At 39.4% G+C, this 21361-nt stretch overlaps 1 long non-coding RNA gene across 1 annotated transcript, besides 1 other annotated feature; it reads left to right on the plus strand.

The window, feature by feature from the left end:
- Positions 1099–1454: a transcriptional cis regulatory region, noted in NCBI's record as "candidate enhancer chr1.12743 targeted for multiplex CRISPR interference". NCBI's record gives its function as "positively regulates EXO1 gene expression in K562 cells {active_cell/tissue: K562}" and the evidence as "EXISTENCE:mutant phenotype evidence [ECO:0000015][PMID:30612741]".
- LOC105373231 (uncharacterized) lies at positions 12068–12810 on the plus strand. The gene is made up of 3 exons (XR_949325.3): positions 12068–12325; positions 12466–12588; positions 12723–12810. It is a non-coding gene; the product is annotated as an uncharacterized LOC105373231 (long non-coding RNA).
- Positions 12811–21361: the final 8551 nt, after the last annotated feature.

The raw sequence follows: 21361 nt of genomic DNA on the forward strand, positions 1-21361 counted from the left end.
GTGAAAATTACAGTGGCAGTGAGCTGAGATCGCACCACTGCACTCCAGCCTGGATGACAGAGTGTGACTCTGTTTCAAAGCAAACAAACAAACAAAAAACCCAACAGTAAGAACACAAACAACTCAATTTTAAAATGAGCCAAAGACTTTAACAGACATCTCATCAAGGAAGATATACAGTTGGCAAACAAGCATATGAAAAGATGCTCAACATCCTATGTCATCAATGAAATACTAATTAAAACAATGAGAAACCACTATACATGTATTAGAAGGACCAAAATCCAGAACGAGGATACCACCAAATGCTGGTGGGGATGTGAAGCAACAAGAACTCTCATTCATTGCTGCTGGGAATGCAAAATGGCACAACCACTTTGGAAGACAGCTTGGCAGTTTTTTAAATAAAACTAAACATACTCTTACCATATGATACAGCAATTACACTTCTTGTTATTTACCCAAAAGAGCTGAAAACTTATGTCCACACAAAAACCTGCATGCTGATGTTTATAGCAGCTTTATCCATAACTGCCATAATTTGGAAGCAACAAAAATGTCCTTCAGTAGGTGAATAGATAAACTAGTACAACCAGACAATGAAATATTACTCTTCACTAAAAAGAAATGAACTATCAAGCCATAAAAAGATGGGAGGAAATGTAAATGCACATAAGTAAGTGAAAGAAGCCACTCTGAAAAGGCTGCATACTGTATGATTCCAACTATATGGCATTCTGGAAAAGGCAAAAGGTATGGAAACAGTCAAAAGATCAATGGTAGCCAGAAGTTAGGGAGTGAGGGAGTGATGAATAGGTGAAGCACAGATTTTTAGGGCAGTGAAACTACTCCACATCACACTACAATGGTGAATACATATATTTCATACATGTCCAAATTCAGAATGTACAACACCAAGTGTGAACCTAAACATAGAGACTATGGACTTTGGATAATAAAGACGTGTCAGTGTAGGTTCATCACTTGTAACAAATATATCACTCTGGTAGGAGATGCTGATATTGGGAAAGGCTATGCACTAAAATTGTTCTAAAAAATAAAATCTGTTAAAAAAATTACACACACACACACACACACACACACACACACACACTATACCACTAGAAAACCCTCAGAATTACTTAAATTAAAAGGACCAACAATACCAAATGTCAGCAAGGATGTGCAACAACAGCAATTCTTGTGGACCTCTGGTGGACGTGTAAATTGGTTGAGTCATTTTGGGAAACACTTTGATATTATCTACTAACATTGACAAACAAACATTCTGTGACTCAGCAGTTCCACTCCTTGGTGTATATCTAACAGAAATATGTGCACATGTATACGAAGAGACATGTAAGAGAATGTTTCTAGCCACATTATTCACAACAGCTCAGAACTGGAAACAATCTCAATGTCCACCAGTGGTGGAATGGCTAAATAACTCTTGGTATATTCATATAACAGAATACAATAAAAATGAATAAATTAATTATGCATAAAACATGGGTGAATCTCAAAAATACAGTGTTGAACAGAAGCCAGACAAAAATTATCCCAAACTAAGGGATTCCACTTAAATTTTTTAAAAAATAGAAAACTAAACTAAAGTGTTTAGGAATAAATAATTACGCATTATATAAGAAAGAAAAGAAAGAAAGAAAGAGAAAGAGAGAGAGAGAAAGAGAGAGGGAGGGAGGGGGAGAGAGAGAGAAAGAAAGAGAGAGAGAGGGAGGTGGAGAGAGAGAGAGAAACAAAGAAAGAAAGAAAAAGAAAGAAAGAAAAGAAAAGAAAGAAAAGAAAGAAAGAAAGAAAGAGATGGAAGAAACCACAAGGAAGTGGTTTCCATAAGAATTGCGATAAGGCTGGGCATGGTGGCTCATGCCTGTAATCCCAGCACTTTGGGAGGCTGAGGTGGGTGGATCACCTGAGGTCAGGAGTTCGAGGCCAGCCTGGCCAACGTGGTGAAACCCCATCTCTACTAAAAACACAAAAATTAGCCAGACGTGGTGTCAGGTGCCTGTAATCCCAGCTACTCAGGAGGCTGAGGCAGGAGAATCGCCTGAACCTGGGAGGCGGAGGTTGCAGAGAGCCGAGATTGCACCACCGCACTCCAGCCTGGGCGACAAGACTGAAACTCTGTCTCAAAAAATATAATAATAAATAAGAATTGGGATAGTGGTTATCTTTTCAGCAGAAGGAAAATGTAGCTATTGGGAGGCGGTATGGTAGATTTGTACTGTGTCCACTTAGCTTAGCTGTAACTAACTATTTTATCCAGAATTTTCTTCCATGCAATTCTAAGTTAGCATAGGCTACCTGAACCTCGGTATAATACAGAAGGCAGAAGTGAAATAGCAGCCATGTGTTTTTGTGCACAAAAGGCAGGTGCAAAGTACTGTTGCATTTAGTGGATGTTGTCCCCAATTTCCTGAATCACTTGGGAATGAGGCAATCTCTGCTCTTACAACTACCCAAGACCTTCTTCTTCAGCTTTTCCAACTTCTGGGCCAGATTGCCTGCCCTGCTCATTTCAGAGCCAGCATAAGACCCAGAAGCAACAGCTGTATATAAACTGTTCACCAAGCCACCACGATTGTGTAAGGTGAAACCCTCATAAGAAATCCCACATTCTGTAGCAGCCCTCACTGTTTCCTCTGACGGAAACTGATTGGTAAACAAGGGGCATGGAAGAGGCCTCCTGGCCACTGGGAACATTCTGTTTCTTGACTTGCTGATGGCTACAGTGATGTTCCCTTGGTGATGATAAATAAAGCTTTACATCTGTGTTTTGTTCAATTATCTGTAGCTATGCTATATTTACCAATGAAAGTTAAAAAAAAAACTCAAAACTACATGTTACAAGCATTAAAAATAGAACAAAACTGCTCTCATGACCTGATGTTTAGAATTACTGCATGTTGTGCCTTTAAAAAAATACACTAGTTTCTCCTATTAATTTTGTGTTTCATTTCTAAATAATGAGCTATGAGAGAAGGATGAAGGCTGCTAAAGAGTTACTTGGTGATGTCCTAAACTGGACTGGTTTGGGGCCAGGCAAAAAATGTCATGTGACATTTCATTCCTCTTGGCATTTGAGTGGTACTTAATACACATAGTTGTTGTGAAGATTAAATGAGTTAATATATTAAAAATGCTAGATGTCCTACCCATAGGAAGCAGTAGTCAAGTGCTTGCCATTATCATTATTCTTAATGTTGTTGTTAGTATTATGTCCTCTCGCATCAATAGATAAGAAAAACATAAAAATTGTATAGATGCTGCATATCAACGAAGGCAATGATTCTCAAATAGCTGAACACTGGAATCACAAGGAGAAATTTCACAAAATCACACTTCCTGTGTGTTGGGGGGAGGGGGGGTGAGGGGATGTACAGAATAATTTCTCCCAAATATGTCTACATCTAATCCCCAGAATCTGTGCATTTACCTCACACGGAAAAGGGGGCTTTGCAGATTGATTAAATTAAGCATTTTGAGGTGGGGAGATTATCCTGGATTAGTCAGGTGAGCCCAAGGTAATCCCAAAAGTGTTGAGAAGGAGGAGAGAGTTAAAGTCAATCAATAGAGATTTGGTGACAGAAGGAAGGGTTGGAGTGAGGTGCTTTGAAGCTAGGAGAAACCACACAGGAATGTGGGCTCCCTCTAAAGCTGGAGAAGCAAGAAAACAGATTCTCCCTGGAGCCTCCAGCAGGAACGTGGTCCTGCCCATACCCTGAGTTTAGCCCCAGGACAATCATTTCAGACTTCTGGCCTCGAGAATTCTAGGATAATAAGTTCATGTTTTATTAAGCCATTAAGATTGTGTTATTTTTTATAGCAGCAGGAAAAAACTAATGGGGGCCGGGGATTAGAGTTACATTTCAATCTCAGGGAAGAGGTATAGGCATCATTTTTGTTGTTACTGTTTTAATCTCTCCAGGTGAGGGCTCCTCACTTACTGCCAGGGTTAAGAAGTACTGAACTAGGAGGGTGAAGGAGAGGGTCAAATATTTTAAGACCAAAGGAGGTGCATGTCATCACTGGGTACCTCTGTGTAACAGAGAAATTCAAGACTACAGAATAAGGGATATTATTTTTTAATACTGGGGCGAAATAAGGAATAAATATTAACCAGACCCTGAGTGCTTGAACAGAGCGGCCAAGAGTCTCCTAGTTCCCAGTGAAGATTAAGTAATTTATCTGCTGTCACACAGCTTGTGAGTTGGAACAGGCTGGACAATGAACCTTGGCTATACACCTTGTGTTATTTAATTTATTTATATGTTTGAGTGCTTTGCTTTGTTCTTTTGTTTTCAGCGAAACTACATTATAAACCTTTTGAAAGCAGGGAAATTGTATACTTTTAGAAATCTGATGAAATTGAGTTACTGAATTAAATCTAGCAGCGGATTCAATATTGGCCATAAAACCCTGGCTATCTTTATTCTATAATATCCTGAAACCCCATCTGCTATTTAATTCAGCCCAATTTTGAGGCCAAGCCCACCCACCTGTCTGTGTGTGGCCTCAATATTTTCTGCCATATCTTATTATATTTTAGGATGACATAATTAGATTTAGTCTACCAGATTTTACTCCCACCAAGCTGGCAACAGTTCATAATAATTACCAATTGATAATAATCACCAATGATAATTTTTACATGAGACAAAAAAAAGTCTAAACTATATAGGACAAAGCATGTACTTTCAATGTAAGCCAGGTATCAGAAAAGACAAGTTATATACTTTGGCCGGCATATCTGGTATAAAACAAGAACATTTTCCCCCAGGGCACTTCTCCACTTCCTTCAGATCTCTGTTCAAATGTCACCTTATAAGAGAATCCTTATGTGACCATCTCTATTTGAAACGGCACCTTCCACACCTGCCTCTTCACATGCACCCATAAGCTTTCCGTCCTTCTTACTTGTCCTTTATAGTACTTAGCACCAGTCCATAACATCATTTACTTATTTTTCTTCTTATCTGTTACTCCTCCCTAGAAGACAAGCTCTCTGAGAGTAGGAACTCTAGTTAGGTCATGCGCTATGTCTCCAAGGTCTAGAACAGTGCCTGCATAGAGTAGGCACCTGTAATTATCAGCAGAATGGCAGCTAGATATACGTGATGTAGCGGGAACATCACCAGGCCTGGAATTAGGACATCACTGTTCATTGTCCAGCCTGTTCTGACTCGCAAGCTGTGTGACAGCAGAGAAGTTACTTAAACTTCCTGATCCTCAGTTTTCTTATCTGGAAATAGGAGTGTCACCCACCCTGTTTACCTCAGTGTCTTAAAAACCACAAAGTGATGTACTGATCTCATGTGTTTTTTTCTTGTATGTGGTATGGTGTGGCTGCTCATTTAGAGCTGTCCTGTCGCATGACTTTTGTCCTATAACCATTGCATTACGGTTGAAGAAACGGGAAATGAAATTATTTGTGTGTCACTAGTTAGCCATTTACACTGTATTTTTGTGGTGAGTAAAGGCAGTGGAGAGGGAAGAACAGAGAGACAATCTGAGTTACTAATGACCATCTTTTTTTTGTTGTCGTTGTTTTTGAGACAGAGTTTCACCCTTTTTGCCCAGGCTGGAGTGCAAATGGTGTGATCTTGGCTCACTGCAACCTCCACCTCCCAGGTTCAAGTGATTCTCCTGCCTCAGCCTCCCGAGTAGCTGGGATTACAGGCGCCTACCACCATGCCCAGCTAATTTTTTGTATTTTTAGTGGAGACGGGGTTTCACCATGTTGGCCAGGCTGGTCTTGAACTCCTGACCTCAGGTGATCCACCTGCCTCAGCCAACCAAAGCACTGGGATTACAGGCATGAGCCACCACGCCCGGTAGACAGTCTTTTAACTCAGCAACACATCCACCACCTGTAATGAGGGCTATAGAACTCCCAGCCTCTTCAGCTCCCCTGCCTGTTCCCCCTTTCCTAGGCTAACCAAAAACTGAATATGCCTACCAGTCACCTCTTCAAAAGCTATGTTATCAGCAGCCAAATTGATTACCAAGTGTTAAATAACACATAGAAAAAAAGTACAATATTGGGTCTTTGGAGTTTGATGCCTGTGGTGAGCTCCATATTATGGAGAACATCCTTATTCATTATCTTCTCAATGGCTTTTGCTTTCTTTCAGGGAGGTATTTATTATTACAGTGACAGAAGGACGAAACAAAGCTATAATTTTGTACAGCATACAGGAGGCTATTTCTTATGTTATTCTTCTTTGTAGCTTTCTATTATAACAATTTTTCTCATTTCATTCCTTAATAGAACAATTCAACATATGGGAAAGGCAATTCAGTGTGGTTTGTCTCTTGAATCATATTATTCTGTTTGAAAGCTGAATACTCGGATTATCTTATTTTGGTAACTCATTGAACTACATTTACTAAATTTTACTTCAGCTTTGTTGAACCTAAATTGAAGGACATTGTAATAAACAGCCAAACAGAACCTGCTGTTTTACTTAATACAGGGATACAATGGTGATTACACCATCCCTAGATCACTCAGTCTTTTTAAAAATTATTATTATTATTTTTTGAAACAAGGTCTCACTTTGTTGCTCAGCCTGGGGTGCAGTGGCACCATCATAGCTTACTGCAGCCTGCTGGGCTCAAACAATCCTTCTGCCTCTGCTCCCAAGCCTGGGACTAAGGGGACGGGCTACCATGCCTGGGTAATTTTTTTATTTTGTAGAAGCAGAATCTCACTTTGTTGCTGAGGGTGGTCTCAAACGCCTGTCCTCAAGTGACCCTGCTGCCTCGGCCTCCCAAAGTGCTGGGATTACAGACACGAGCCACCCCACCTGGCCAACTCAGAGTCTTCACAAAAACTCAAGAATCCTCCCTTGGGTCTCAGGGTTAAGAAATGTTGTGCTTTGTCTAGAGAACTAATCTGCTTTGATCTTGTGGACACCATAATTACTATAACTGGATGTTGTTTCCTCTTTTCTCTGAAAACTTAGAAAATGCAGAGCCAAATTCGTATCTTCCCCTCAGCAATGCTTTTAGAACACGATTATGTTTTACATTCTTGCACAGATATTCCTCTGGCCCAGATTGCACAAGTAATTTATTATATTCTTTTGTATTACACGCACTTTTGTAAATTAACATAGTTTTTTGGGGATAAGGTTTATATGGATGGATGAGTACGTATATATTTATATATACACACATTTTAATAGGCTTTATTTTTCAGAGCAGTTATAGGTTCACAGCAAAATAGAGCAGAGGAAGTACAGAGATTTTTCCATTTACTCCTACCCCCACACATGCATAGCCCCCATTATCATAAACATCCCCCACCAGAGTGTACATTTGTTATGACTGATGAACCTATATTGATGCATCATTATCACCCAGAGTCCACAGCATACATTAGGGTTCACTCTTGGTGTTGTACATTCTATGGGTTTGCACCAATGTATGAGAACATGTATCCACCATTATAGTATCATACAGAGTAGTTTAACTGCCCTAAACATTATCTGGATTTCTTCTTTTTTTTTTTTTTTTTAGAGATAAGGTCTCACTGTGTTGCCCCCAGTCTGGTCTTGAACTCTTGGCCTCAAGCAATCCTGCTGCCTCTGAATCCAAAAGTGCTGGGATTACAGATGCCAGCCACTACACCAAAAACCACAATTTTTTTTCCAAATTTTATTCTAAGTTTCCAGCTTCTTTTCATGAATGATCGTGTCTGAATAAGCTTCCTTTCATGAATGATTGTGTCAGCTTCTCTCAAAGCTGACCCATTTTTTATAAAGTACAACCAAAATAAAAGAAAGTCTACTTGAAAATCCAAATTTCAGTGGTAGGGCTGGGTGCAGTGGCTCACGCCTGTAATCCTAGCACTTTTGGAGGCCAAGGAGAGCGGATCACTTGAGGTCAGGGGTTCCAGACCAGTCTGACCAACATGGTGAAACCCCATCTCTACTGAAAATACAAAAATATCCAGGTGTGATGGCATACATAACCCTGTAATCTCAGCTACTTGGGAGGCTGGGACGTGAGAATCCCTTGAACCCGGGAGGCGGAGGTTGCAGCGAGCCGAGATCGCACCATTGCACTCCAGCCTGGGTGACAGAGTGAAACTCTGTCTCAACCGAAAAAAAAAAAAGATTTCAGTGGCAAGTGTTTACTTGCCACTGAAGAAGTAATAAGAAGTCTCTTTACAAAATGAGACTCATAAAACCTCAAGAGTTTTCAAAAATAAACTCAGATATTTCAACATAAATAAGCATACAGAGTAAACGGATAAGATTTCAAAACCTTTTCATTACTAATATGATAAGCCAAAAAAAAAAAAAAAAGAACTTGGGGAATGAATAACATTTGTCATAACACAATGAATTCTTCTTTGTTAATGCAATCCCCCTGAATTATTTTGAAAGACATATAATCAATAAAGGAGAATGTGTTATTACTAAGTCACTTAGGAGGGCTATAATAAATATGCAACCATTAGAAAATACCCCAAAATAAATATTTTATTATGTTTCTAGGAGTAAGTTTCCTTTAGATATATTTGTTATTACATAAGAATTTTCTGGAGTTTGGGCTGCTATGTTGAAAACCTAACCATGCAATTTATCTACTCTTTAAAAATATAGGAAGGGTTATGAAACTTCTAAATTTTTCTCAATTAAAATATCAAAATTGTCTGTTGATTGATACTGAAGAGGGAGAAAGTTAATCTGCTTTCAGACACTTAAAATATCAAAGTCTCACCCCTTTCCAATTTCTTCCCCTACCCCATCTATTTCAAAGAGTACCATATCTTTCTAGATTCTAGAACATCAGTATAGAATGCCATCGTGAATTCCAAATATCATTTTCTTTAACCCTCCTTTAAAGACACTCCCTCTATTTCCCCCACACAGCATGACTTATACCAAAATCAACTCATTTATTCCTCTTATTCCTCTACCCCTCCCCATACCTCATCTCTGGCCAAAGGAGTAATTTAAATTTTGCTCCTGGGTTAATTGTCATGGATCAGCATTCTGACCTTCAATTCTTTACTATTCCACCTCAATATTATCTTAGCTGCCTTGGAACTCAGTAAATTTACTTTCCTAAGTGTATTAACCAGGGTTCTCCTGAGAAACAGAATCCCAAAGGTCCTATGGAAAGAGATTTATTATGACAGATTGGTTCATGCAATTATGGAAGCTGAGAATCTGCATCTGTGAGCTGGAAACCCAGGAAAGCTACTGGTGTAGTTCCCATCCAGCTTTGGAGGCCTGAGATCACTAAGGGCAATGGTATAAGTCCCAATTAAGAGACCAAAGGTCCATGAGCTAGGAGTGCTGATGTCCCAGTTCAAGCAGAGAGGGAATTGCCCTTCTTCTGCATTTTTGTTCTATATCAGCCCTCAAAGGATTGAAAAATGTCAATTCACATTGGTGTGGGTGATCTTTACTTAGTCTACTGATTCAAATGCTAATTTCTTAAGAAAACTCGCCCATAGATATACCCAGAAATAATGGTTTCCTAGTTATCTGGGTATCCCTTAGTCCAGTCCAGTTGACATATTAAAATTAACCATCGCACTGAGTACTGAAAACTAATGAACACCGTGCTAAATGTATGCATCTCTAGAAGATCTTTGAAGTTCATTTTGATGAATAGTAAAGAAATAAAATTAATAACACCAAAATCAATGGTATTAGCTTGAATACTACAGACTTAATTCCATTTGCCCTTGATTGAATCAGAGGGATTATGATAATCACTCCGATATTATGCTACTACTTATAAATCATTGCTTTTCCATGGTGTCACTTTTTAAATGGCTCATTTCCGCTTAAAAATTTTTTTGTGATTTGTACGCTATGCCTGGTACACAGTAGGCACTTGATAATATTTGTTATTTGATTTTAATTTCATGATTGCTATAACTAATTCTATTCCAATATGCCAGATGCTCTTCCTATTAGCACTCATTGGCAAAACTGAATCATGAATGACTCCAGTATAACAAGCAAATTGTATATAAATCACATAAGAAAAAAACAGACATTGCATTTAGGATAAAATAAATGCACTTACATTTTTCTTTTCTCTGAGGTTTTACTTTCCAAAATTATAAACTACAAATTTGCCTAAATTTCTAAAAATTGGGTCACTAAAAATGTAGACATAAATTAACGTGGTTCTTTTGGTTTTGCCGTATCCAACTATCTCAACAGGATTTTACCAAGATAAAATCTGAACCAGTGATTCCATTGGCTGCATTAGAACCAGCTGAGAACTGGGTTTTTTAAAAACACAATACGTATTTTCAGGCCCAATCCTCTAAAAACGCTGATTCAGCTGTGTCTGGTGTGGTGCTAGTGCATCTTTATTACATTAAAGATATCAAGGGGGTTATGATGTGCAGACAGCTTTAGGTGGTTAGGACCAACTTAGCTTATTACCTAACATGCGATCAAATTCTAAATGAGTCAACATGCAGACGTTCTAAAAAACAACAATCACATTTTTTCTTCATTTGATTATCTACTGTGTTAATGTAATGCCTTGCTCACTCTAAGAGCTTAATCTGTGCTTATTGACGGATTGACTATAGCGAGAAATACCCGCTCAATTATATCTTATCCAATTCAGTTGTATTGCGTAAAAGACTAAGGAAGGCCGGGTGCTGTGGCTCACGCCTGTAATCCTAGCACTATGGGAGGCTGAGGTGGGTGGATCACTTGAGATCAGGAGTTTGAGATCAGCCTGACCAACATGGTGAAACCCTGTCTCTACCAAAAATACAAAAATTAGCTGGGCGTCATGGCAGGCACCTATAATCCCAGCTACTCAAGGGGCCGAGACAGGAGAATTGCTTGAACCCAGGAAGAGGAGGTTGCAGTGAGCCAAGATCACGCCATTGCACTCCAGCCTGGGCAACAAGAGTGAAACTCCATCTCAAAAAAAAAAAAAAAAAAAGGACTAAGAAAAACGTCTCTATAATAGTCAGACTTTTGTTTGACAAATGGGGTTGTAAAGAAATATAAATCTTTAAGGCTACTCCTAAGGTCTAAGAGCTTTCTCACCAAAGTGATGCCATATAGACTGAGTCAAATCTACTGGGGATAAATTATAAGCATGAATTCAGGGTTGAGAAGAGAAAACGCGGGTGTCATGGATGGCAAAGCTGGAATGAAGGCTTCTGCAATGCCTTTACTCCATTTCTTATTACTAAAATCATGATAAATCAAAAAATAATAATAAAAAATAAAAAACTCGACAAGGGAACTTGGGGAATGAATCACATTTGTCATAACCTTACAGTTCTACGTCAGTATGCTTGAGCACTGGGACTGAACTAATGGACCTGAGTTACAATGTTCTACTGTGTTCTGGTGGGCTTTGGTATGGAGTCATTGTGGTCAAAGCTAAGCTTATTTAACTTTTGTCATTGGGATGAGATCTTGAGACCAACTTCTGTCAACAACTGAGCAATGTTCCTCAGTGACATACTTAAATATTCAACAAAGGTGACCCATATTTTCATCTCAGGAATTCAGGTTATCTTCATGGATCACAGAAAACTGAGCTGGAAAGGAGAGCTTTATTATTGTGCTTCCAGATTTGTTCCACGATGATTCAACTGATTCTGTAAAGACCTATCTGCAGTATTAGTCACTTATTCAATAAACATTCACTGAACTACTTTAGGCCAGAAACTATGCTAAAGTGGAAGAAACTATTATAAACATTGAACATGAGCTTTTTTGTAGCTAATCAACCACAGAAGGTGAAGATGTGTAAATAAATCATCATAATACATGAAGTCATAAAGGAGGAATCTGAAAGTATTATATTATTGCCTCATACACAGCAATCAACTGTTTGGGGGCTTGGGGAGGGTGCTGAGTAAGGCAATGGGTACTGAGCAAGGCAATGGGAAGGGGGCTAGTGGGTTGGGAATGTGGTGTCTTGAGACACACACTGAGATGTACTTTCAAATGAAGTCTGGAACTGCAGATATATTTAGCGAGTTGAGACTGGCAAGGGCAGGACGTCATAGAGAAAATACATGGAATAAAATGAGAAAAAGAGAAGTGGGGAAAGTGATAGGGCAGAAAACTCTAAGAAATTTCTGACATGCAAGGAAAAGAAATTTCTGACACAGAGAAAATACATGGAATAAAATGAGAAAAAGAGAAGTGGGGAAAGTGATAGGGCAGAAAACTCTAAGAAATTTCTGACATACATGGAATAAAATGAGAAAAAGAGAAGTGGGGAAAGTGATAGGGCAGAAAACTCTAAGAAATTTCTGACATGCAAGGAAAAGATGAAACAAAAAGAGGTAGTGAAAAAGCCTGGGGATGAGTGTGGGCAAGACAGGTGTTGGGCAAAAAGAGAACCAGAGAGACAATAACTCACAGGGATGAGGAAAGAGCGGGTTTCAAGAAGGAATGAATGGTTAACACTTGTTAATTTTCCAAGGTCAAATATGTAAGAGCAGAAAGCTGTCCTTTAAGTTCTGAGAACTAAGAGGAGTGGAGTGACCTAAAAAGCGAGTGGTGGGAGCAAAAGTAAGCTGCAGGGACCCAGGAGGAGCAACAGGAGGTGAGGAAGCAGAGATATCAACTCCTCCAAGCTGTTCTACCATAAACAGAAAGAAAGATACGGGATTGCAAGAGTGATGGGCAGATAAGATGCAGAGAGTGGGTTCTTTTTTTCTTCCTTTTGTTTTGGAACAGAGGTGGAGGTGGCAGCCTTCCTTTTTCTCATCAAAAGAATTGTTAAACAGAGGTTCCCAGAAAGTCTGTGCACAGTGGAGATGCCGAATACCATAAAGTACTGAAAGAAGAAGCATCAGATAGTAGAGAGAACAAAGTTGGAACGACCTGGCTTCAAATCCTGAGTGGCTCCTTTGCTAGCCGTGTGACTGAGCACATTACTCAGCCTTTGCAAGAGTCAGTTTCCCTGTGGATATCCTCAGAACAAAATATTCCTCCCAAGTTTATGGGAAGATTAAATAAATTAAGGTACATACAGTGCCTATGGTACCAGCCAATTAGAGATGTTTCTCTCCCTTTCCTTTCAACCTAAGCGAAAATCTTAAAATATTTAATAGAAGCATGTATTTAGTTACCTTGAAATAAATACGTATATGGCAACTGAAATTTACACAGGTACCAAACCAATAAATGTATTCTAAACCAATAATTTTAGATTTGAAATGTAATACTGAAAACCATAAGTGTTATATTCAGAAAACTACATGAAACAATAGAAACATATATAACAGGTAACTGTAAATTTGACGAACAAATAATGCAACCATAACTTCTCCATGACATATTAGTACACAGACAAATCATCTTGTGAAAGATGATGTGTTAATACTTATCTTGATCAAAGAAGCATATTAGGCTCTACTGAAACCGAGAGGAAATATTCCTTGCTGTTATATTCTGGTCTCTGGTTGGCAGATTATTAGTGTTCAAGGAGAAGGGTTGTAGAGGTGGTCCCACGTGGACTACGGTTTTATTGCACGATCTGTGAGGTGAGTTCCAAGCCTAAGGCTCTATGACATGGCAGACCTTGAGGTCTGAATTTGGACCTCACTCGACCTCCCTGACCATAAAAGAAAAGCCGATGACAGACATCTCATGGATAACTGAGAATGTGCTCTTTGTCAGCAAAAAAATCACCTGTTGAAATGACTAGTCAGACACCCTGTCAGGATACAGTCAAGACAAGAGGGCCTCAGTCACAATGCATGTGAATGGTGTCTGCAGTAAGCACAGTTCTCATCAATCAAATAAATGGATGTTCCTATTTATAAAGCTGTTCAGTATTATTCCAGCCTGTTAAGTCTTCCAGTATCAAATCAATCATGTCATTCCTGAATCCAGATATTCAACCCTACCTATATGTTAAGAAAATAATCTTCCACAGTGGCATTTGAGGGGTTCCTCCACCAGACTGCTACCTGAAAAATTATCCCTGAATAGCACCCTACTGGATCATCCAATGAAAACGCTGTTTCTGGATGCCTAAGTGTTGAAATTGATACATGCCTTTACATAGAACCTTCATCCCTGTCCTGTGAACACATACAGAAGGATTAGTTTGTCAGACTATCTGATACTTCAAAAGGCTGAAAAGAAAGGATAAGGCACAGTAAAGTTAGGTGAGAGAATGGAGTGGGAAAGTAAGTGAAGTGTGTGTGTGTGTGTGTGTGTGTGTGTGTGTGTGTGTTGAGGAAAGAGCTGAAAAAGAAAACACAGAAAGAACAGAGCAGAATAATTTATAAGCTCTTGGGAGCAATGGTAAGGAAGGAAAAGCTTTGAATTCAGGTCAGATTGCAATTAGCCAAGCTATCTTAGTAAGTAGGGTAGAGAGAATCTGATATCCCATACATTATTTTTATTTGACACTGAAAATATTTATTATATTTTATAGTGGATACACCTTCTGAATTATGTTATAGGTTAACACTGAAGATATGTTTCATCTACTAAACATATAACTGCTGGATAGTTGGGGGAAAATGGCTAGAAGTTTGCTAGGTAGCAGTAGAAAATCTAGCTGGGATTCAAAATATCTCAGGAATAACACATGATACAAATATTGCCTACTTAATCGTGAAATAGACTGCATTTGTATGGCTTGTATTTGTGTACAGGATGACTGTACTTATTTTGGTAAATAGATACTCGTACATTGTGTACACATGTGCTTTTGAGCCCTCTCTTTTCATAGTCTAGAAGTACCATAAAGAAAGGGACCATGTCTAGTGTTTTCTTTATACCTCCTTTAACTATCAGTAGTAATATACTGTGGATGCCCCAAAATGTTAACTTACCTATTTATGAGTTGCTTACATTTATATTTTTCTTAGAGACATCAGTTTTTTTCTCAATGTATAAATAACTAGGTAAGGAATGGGATGGGACATTAATTTTCTCGAGAAATATTGCATGAAAAACTAGAAATACACAGGAAAAAACAAAAAAGATGGTCTCTGCCCTTCAGGTACTTATTGCCTGAGAAAGGAAACAAAGATAGAATCAGATATGGGCAACAACATGTTAGAGGTGCGATGATGGAAGTCAGTACAAGTACCACATGGGCATGGGAAACGTTCCACCTGTAACAAATATATGCCTCTTCTTGCCAGTTACAGGCATCATCTGTATAGGATTCAGAAAGAAAAAAATATTTGTCTTAAGCTGAATGAAAACAATTCTGCAATTTTTATAGGAAATTCACATGACATTAAAAACAGGAAGACAAAAACAACGCATACAGGGTCTGCAAGATTTAGAAATACAGATAGGTAGAGATGAAAGGGATCAACTAAAAGGATTCATGTTTATATAACCAGTCCCAGTCCCCATTTTTCTATTATTAAATAATAGATGATTGCATGTGGTATCTAAGTCAGAATAAACTTTAATTTACAGCTATACCATCTGTACTACTTACTATTTCTATTACGGCAACTTCTTTGAAGAAGGCATTTGATTTTAAAAGGAATGCCATATCTATTTTTAGAATTTTTTTTTTCTACAAAAAAAGGCCATAGACTGGAAGAAAGCACAGAGGCACAGGTGGCTAAATACAATTTTTCAATGAATAGAAATGAGCTAAAAGTCTCTAACATTTCCTTAAAATGTCTTATGATGTCAGAACAAATTGAACGAATAAGTTTATGTATTGCTCATGCATGCACATAATTTATTTGTGGCATAATGACTCAGATGCAGTGTTTGGCTAGTAAATTCCACTTCTGCATTTCTGTTCACTGCCTGTAAATATTATTGTTCTGCCATCCTGACTTAATTATTCCTAGATAAAAAGAGATACACATTTGGAAGAAGGCAAAAACGAAAGATTTTTACAATGTGAAATAAAGGATCTTGATATTAGGCGCATCTTATAGATAGCTGGCCGCATATGGGGAAAATTATATGCTGAAGCAAGAGTTAAAATAAAGGGGTTTATTAATTTTACTACTTTATGTTCTTGTGAAGAGCAGAATGGTAAGGAATACTGCCAGTGGTTATTTGTAAAACTGGATCAGAAATCAGACCAATAGAAAAAATACATGCTTCATACTTACCAGTGCCATGTGACGATTTTATGGTGTCCACAAAACAGTCCAATTGATAGACTCTCTCTTCTGTTCAAATGGCCAGGCCAATTCAAGTGAGAACCAGAATTTGTTTTAGATCTGAGTTTCCAGGACTGTCTCTGGTTCTTCCATAGGTTTTTCTAGAGGGGACTGACCAAGTGGATCTACTCTCATCTGAAGACCATACTAGCCACCCACACTTACTTCAAGTGGTGCTGAATCCTCAAGGAAATTCCCTGACCTCTCAATCCTCACCATCCACAGAGCTAAATCAGACTTTCTTTGTGGTAAAGAACACAAGGTCTAGAATTAGCCTCTCCAGATTACAATTCTGGCTCCGGGCCGGGTGCAGTGGGTCATGCCTGTAATCCCAGCACTTTGGGAGGCTGAGGCAGGCGGGTCACATGGTCAGGAGTTTGAGACCAGCCCAGCCAATATGGTGAAACCCCGTCTCTACTAAAAGATACAAAAATTAGACAGGTATGGTGGCGCACACCTGTAGTCCCAACTATTCAGGAGGCTGAGGCAGGAGAATTGCTTGAACCCGGGAGGCAGAGGTTGCAGTGAGCCAAGATCATGCCACTGCACTCCAGCCTTTTCGAGACTCTGTCTCAAAAAAAAAAAAATAAATAAATTCTGGCTCTGACCATACCTGGTTTTTGGAAAGTTATTTAAGTTCTCTGTGCACAAGTTGACTCACCTACAATATGAAAATTATACTAATACCTGCATCTTAGGGTTTTCAATGAAGATCAGATTAAATAGTGCATGTAGAAATGCTTAGCAATATATGTATAAATATTTGTTTAATGTATATTTATGTGTCTAAATAAATATAAATATATACATACATATCTGCATTTGTATCTTTCACCTTCTTTGCACATAGGCATTCACACGACTTTGTTCTTACCTTGCAAATGTTATATACAAAATATATTCTAACATTTTCCCCATCCTTCTTCTCCATTCTATGCTGCCCTTTGCCAAGTGAACACAACTAGCCTAACCAGAAAGAGAGAAAAAAACAAACCTCACATCCCAGCAACTGTCAATTTTTTGCCCATATTCATTCTTCTCACATTTCTTCCACTCTTGCAATAGCAAAGAGAAAATTAAAAACAGGTTGGGCAACTGATAATATTCTTTTTGCATCACCAATTAGAATTCTGAGACTCTAAGTCATAAGGTAGGAACAGCTTCAGATGTGTTTTGAAAAACAGAAACAAACCCACATAGCACTCTGCCTGGGGAGAAAATCATTTCTCCCATGAATACTGATTCAGTTCAAAGGCACACCTAACTGTAATCCATAATAGAATAAGATGAAAAGTTTATTCGAAGAGAATCTAAACACAGAATTGAGAGGGGGAAGGAAAATAGTCACACATAGAAAATTTATTCTGGGCCAGGTGTGGTAGCTCATGCCTGTAATCCCAGAACTTTGGGAGGCCAAGGCAAGAGGATCGCTTGAGCTGAGGAGTTCGAGAGCAGTCTGGGCAACAAAGTGAGAATCTATCTCTACAAAAAATAAAAGTAAATCAATTAGGCAGGCGTGGTGGTGTGCCTATAGTGTCAGCTACTTGGGAGGCTGAGATGAGAGGATCACTTGAGCCTGGGAGATGGAGGCTGCAGTGAGCCATGATCATGCCACTACATTCCAACCTGAGTAACAGAGACTTTGTCTCAAAATAAATAATAAATAAAAATAAAAATAAAAATAAAATTTACTCTTATGTGTATGCTGATACCTTCCTAGGAAAGAATCACTACCTCTCTATCAGAGTTTAAATGAAAAGAACCATTACTAGCTGAATGGGAAAGGCAAAAATGGAGCTACATCTTAGGCCTCCTAAATTTGCATTCAGTTCACTCAATCTTCACTGTAGCCACTTCTGGATCATCAAAGTCCACAGTACGGCTGAAGACCCTTAGCAAGGCAGGGCCTGTAATGTGATGCGGTAAGTGGGGATAGGCCTGGTGGCCCTTTTGTTTGCTTATTGGCCTAGCCTCAAAAATAAGACAAGGATTGGATGTCTTGGGGCTAATGGCTGGTTCTAAAGGCAAAACAGCCCTTCCAGGACAGTTGGGAAATAACAGTCCTTCCTCCCCTTAACACTGTATAGTGTATCAGGAAGCCACTCACCCAGGTGAAAGAGGGTCTAGGGCATTCCAGGAATGGAGAGGCCAGCGGATCTGTGAGAGACATTTTTTAATGCTACACACCCAGTGTCACTCAAATTGTCTCCCACCCTAGCCCCAGGGAGTCATGCTCCCTCAGTTCCTCCTTACAGTTGCTGGGTAAAGGAGGCTGCATGGATTCTGAAAAGCAAGTCAAGAGGAAGAGCTGCTGACCTAAAAGTACTGTAGAAAACTGAGAGCAAAGGCTAAATGAAAGGATGGCAGCATTTAACACAGATAGAAAAGGATACTTCCTGCCTTTTTCCTGGCTCAAACTATGACTTCGACATGAAGTTTTGGACTGAGTGAGTCTGCCCGGAAGCACGCCATCAGAGGACACGTCAAGAAGCCAGTGAAAGAGAAGTGATGGCCCAGCGCGGGAGAAAGCAGTCACATATTCACATGTACTTTTCTCCTCTTTACTGAGGCGACAGTAAACCAGTGGCACCAGGAGCTGGGATTTGAGGGGCTGGAACTAGGTTGTGACCGGCCTGAAGAAGCAAAAGTCAGGAAAGCTTAGAAGGTCAAGTCCAAGCCACTGTCCCTTCAAGAGGGTGAGAATCCAGCTCAGGGAAGATAAATACCAGCAAGGGGTAGAGGCACTCCTGGAGCCACAGCTCAAAGATGGAGGGAGAGGGCAAAACAAGGCAGGACCAAACAAGAATGAGGCAGGGTGACAGCTAGAAAATAGCCCACCTCCCTTTCCAAGCAAACAAACCACACAAGGCTTCTATGCCCAGTGAAACTTCAAGATGAAGGGAAGGGACAGGAGGTGGGGATGTGGGAGAGGGGTAAGGACCTAGGATCAGCCACAGGGTATAAAGCCAACAGATACCCAGGAATCCATGACAATTCAAATCAAACATCACATTCAAAGGTTGCATTGAGATGATGTATGAGGTTTGCTTCGAAATAATGGAAGGAGAACCCACAGTGTATATATTAAACAAAACTAGACCTTTAACTTCAAACACTGGTATAAAAAGCTATTTTTTAGCCAGGCATGGTGGCAGGCGCCTGTAATCCCAGCTACATGGGAGGCTGAGGCAGGAGAATTGCTTGAACATGGGAGGCGGAGGTTGCAGTAAGCCAAGATCGTGCCATTGCACTCCAGCCTGGGTGACAAGAGCAAGACTGTCTCAAAAAAAAAAAAAAAAAAAAAGCTATTTTTTTAGAAAAAATTCAGAACACTTCCTTCTAAATGGAGATGACAATGGCTAGAAATTGAAAATGATATTCATGAAACATACCAGTTAGCACGGTTAGTGAAGGAGGACACTTCTCATTCTGTAGCTCAAAATTTTCTCTCAATTTATATCTAAATAGAAGTAAGGGAATATTCAAGAAAGAGCGATGTGGTAGCAGAGCATCCTTTATGCAGTGTTTGAGAGCAAAATCAAATGATGTTTCTTTTCCAACATTAACATGTTTAAATAAAGGATAATTCTATCCTTAGACCCTAGGATCTCCTCTTTATAGCTTTTATTAGCAATATTTTATTTATATTATCTTACAACAGCCCTGGGGGATAAGCAGAGCAATACTACTATGCTCATTGTATTGAAGAAAATAAGGCCACATGAGATTGGAAGAACCTGGCCAAAATCCAATGGCCATAGTGAGTAAAAGAAAGTGAAACTCAGAACTTCAAACCCAGGTCTTCTGACTCCAAACCCAGGCCCTTTTCACTATCCTGGGCAACTTAGTCCCATCTCCTGGGTTTCCTCCAGTTGCCAGCTTGGTGTTTCACACTGCTAATCTGCCTGTTAGTCTTTGCAACCTTGACTTAACAAATGATTGAAATGTAGTCTTGTGGTATTCTGGTATTCCAGAATATGATGCTATTTTTAAAGAACCAAGTATTCTTTTGGTATTTTTCTTGATGTAGTGCCATTATTTTGGTATTTAAAAATCTAAACTCTGAATTATGTGCATTATGATATATATTCAGAGAGTTATATACCACATTTAAATTTCATATCAAATTAAGCTGCTTTTAAATAGAAAGCATTCTGACTACACCACTTCCCTTTTAAAACTTGTTCAAAATGTTATCTGGCATTAATTCCAGTTTCCTAAATGACTAGTAAGACTGAGTGTGTTAGTCCATTTTCTTTGTTATAAAGGAATACCTGAGACTAGGTGATTTATAAAGAAGAGAGGTTTATTTTGGCTCACAGTTTTGAAGACTATATAGGAAGAAGGGTGCCAGCATCTGCTTCTAGTGGGCCTCCGGAAGCTTCCAATCATGGTGGAAGGTGAAGGGAGAGCAGGCATATTAAATGCTGAGAGAGCAAGCGAGGGAGGGAGGTTCTGGGCTCTTTTAAACAATCAGGTCTCAGGTGAACTACCAGAGCAAGAACCCACTCATTACCATGGGGATGCCACCAAGCCACTCATGAAGGATCTGCCTCCGTGACCCAAACACTGAAGTCCCACCTCCAACACTGGGGATCACATTTCAACATAAGATTCAGAAGGGACAGCCAAACCATATCACTGAGCATTTGTGTTTTTTTTTTTTTTCTTTTGAGATGGAGTCTTGCTCTGTCATCCAGGTTGGAGTGCAGTGATGCGATCTCGGCTCACTGAAAACTCCGCCTCTGGATTCAAGTGATTCTCCTGCCTCAGCCTCCTGAGTAGCTGGGGTTACAGGCACCCACCGCTGCGCCTGGCTAAATTTAGTATTTTCAGTAGAGACGGGGTTTCACCACGGTGGCTAGGGTGGTTTTGAACTCCTGACCTCAGGTGATCTGCCCATCTCGGCCTCCCAAAGTGCTGGGATTACAAGCGTGAGCCACTGCACCTGGCCTCTTTTTTTATTTATAGTATTTTTATTTTCCCCAGAGTCAGTTTTAGTCTAATCAATTTCCAGAAATCTCAAATGCAATTTGACTGTTGTGGGGGTAGTGGGTGAGGAAAAGGCCTTAAGGAAAATGTAGAAGGACAGAAGTATTAGGGAGAAGAGGGGAAGAAAAGACGAAGAAATTTCCAGATTACTGGTTCTTCTCTTATTTCCTGAGAGCACCAAATTCATTTTCTTAAAGATAGACTGTTCTCTCCTAAGATAAT

The sequence above is a fragment of the Homo sapiens genome, chromosome 1 (genome assembly GCF_000001405.40).
Source record: "Homo sapiens chromosome 1, GRCh38.p14 Primary Assembly".
NCBI lineage: Eukaryota > Metazoa > Chordata > Mammalia > Primates > Hominidae > Homo > Homo sapiens.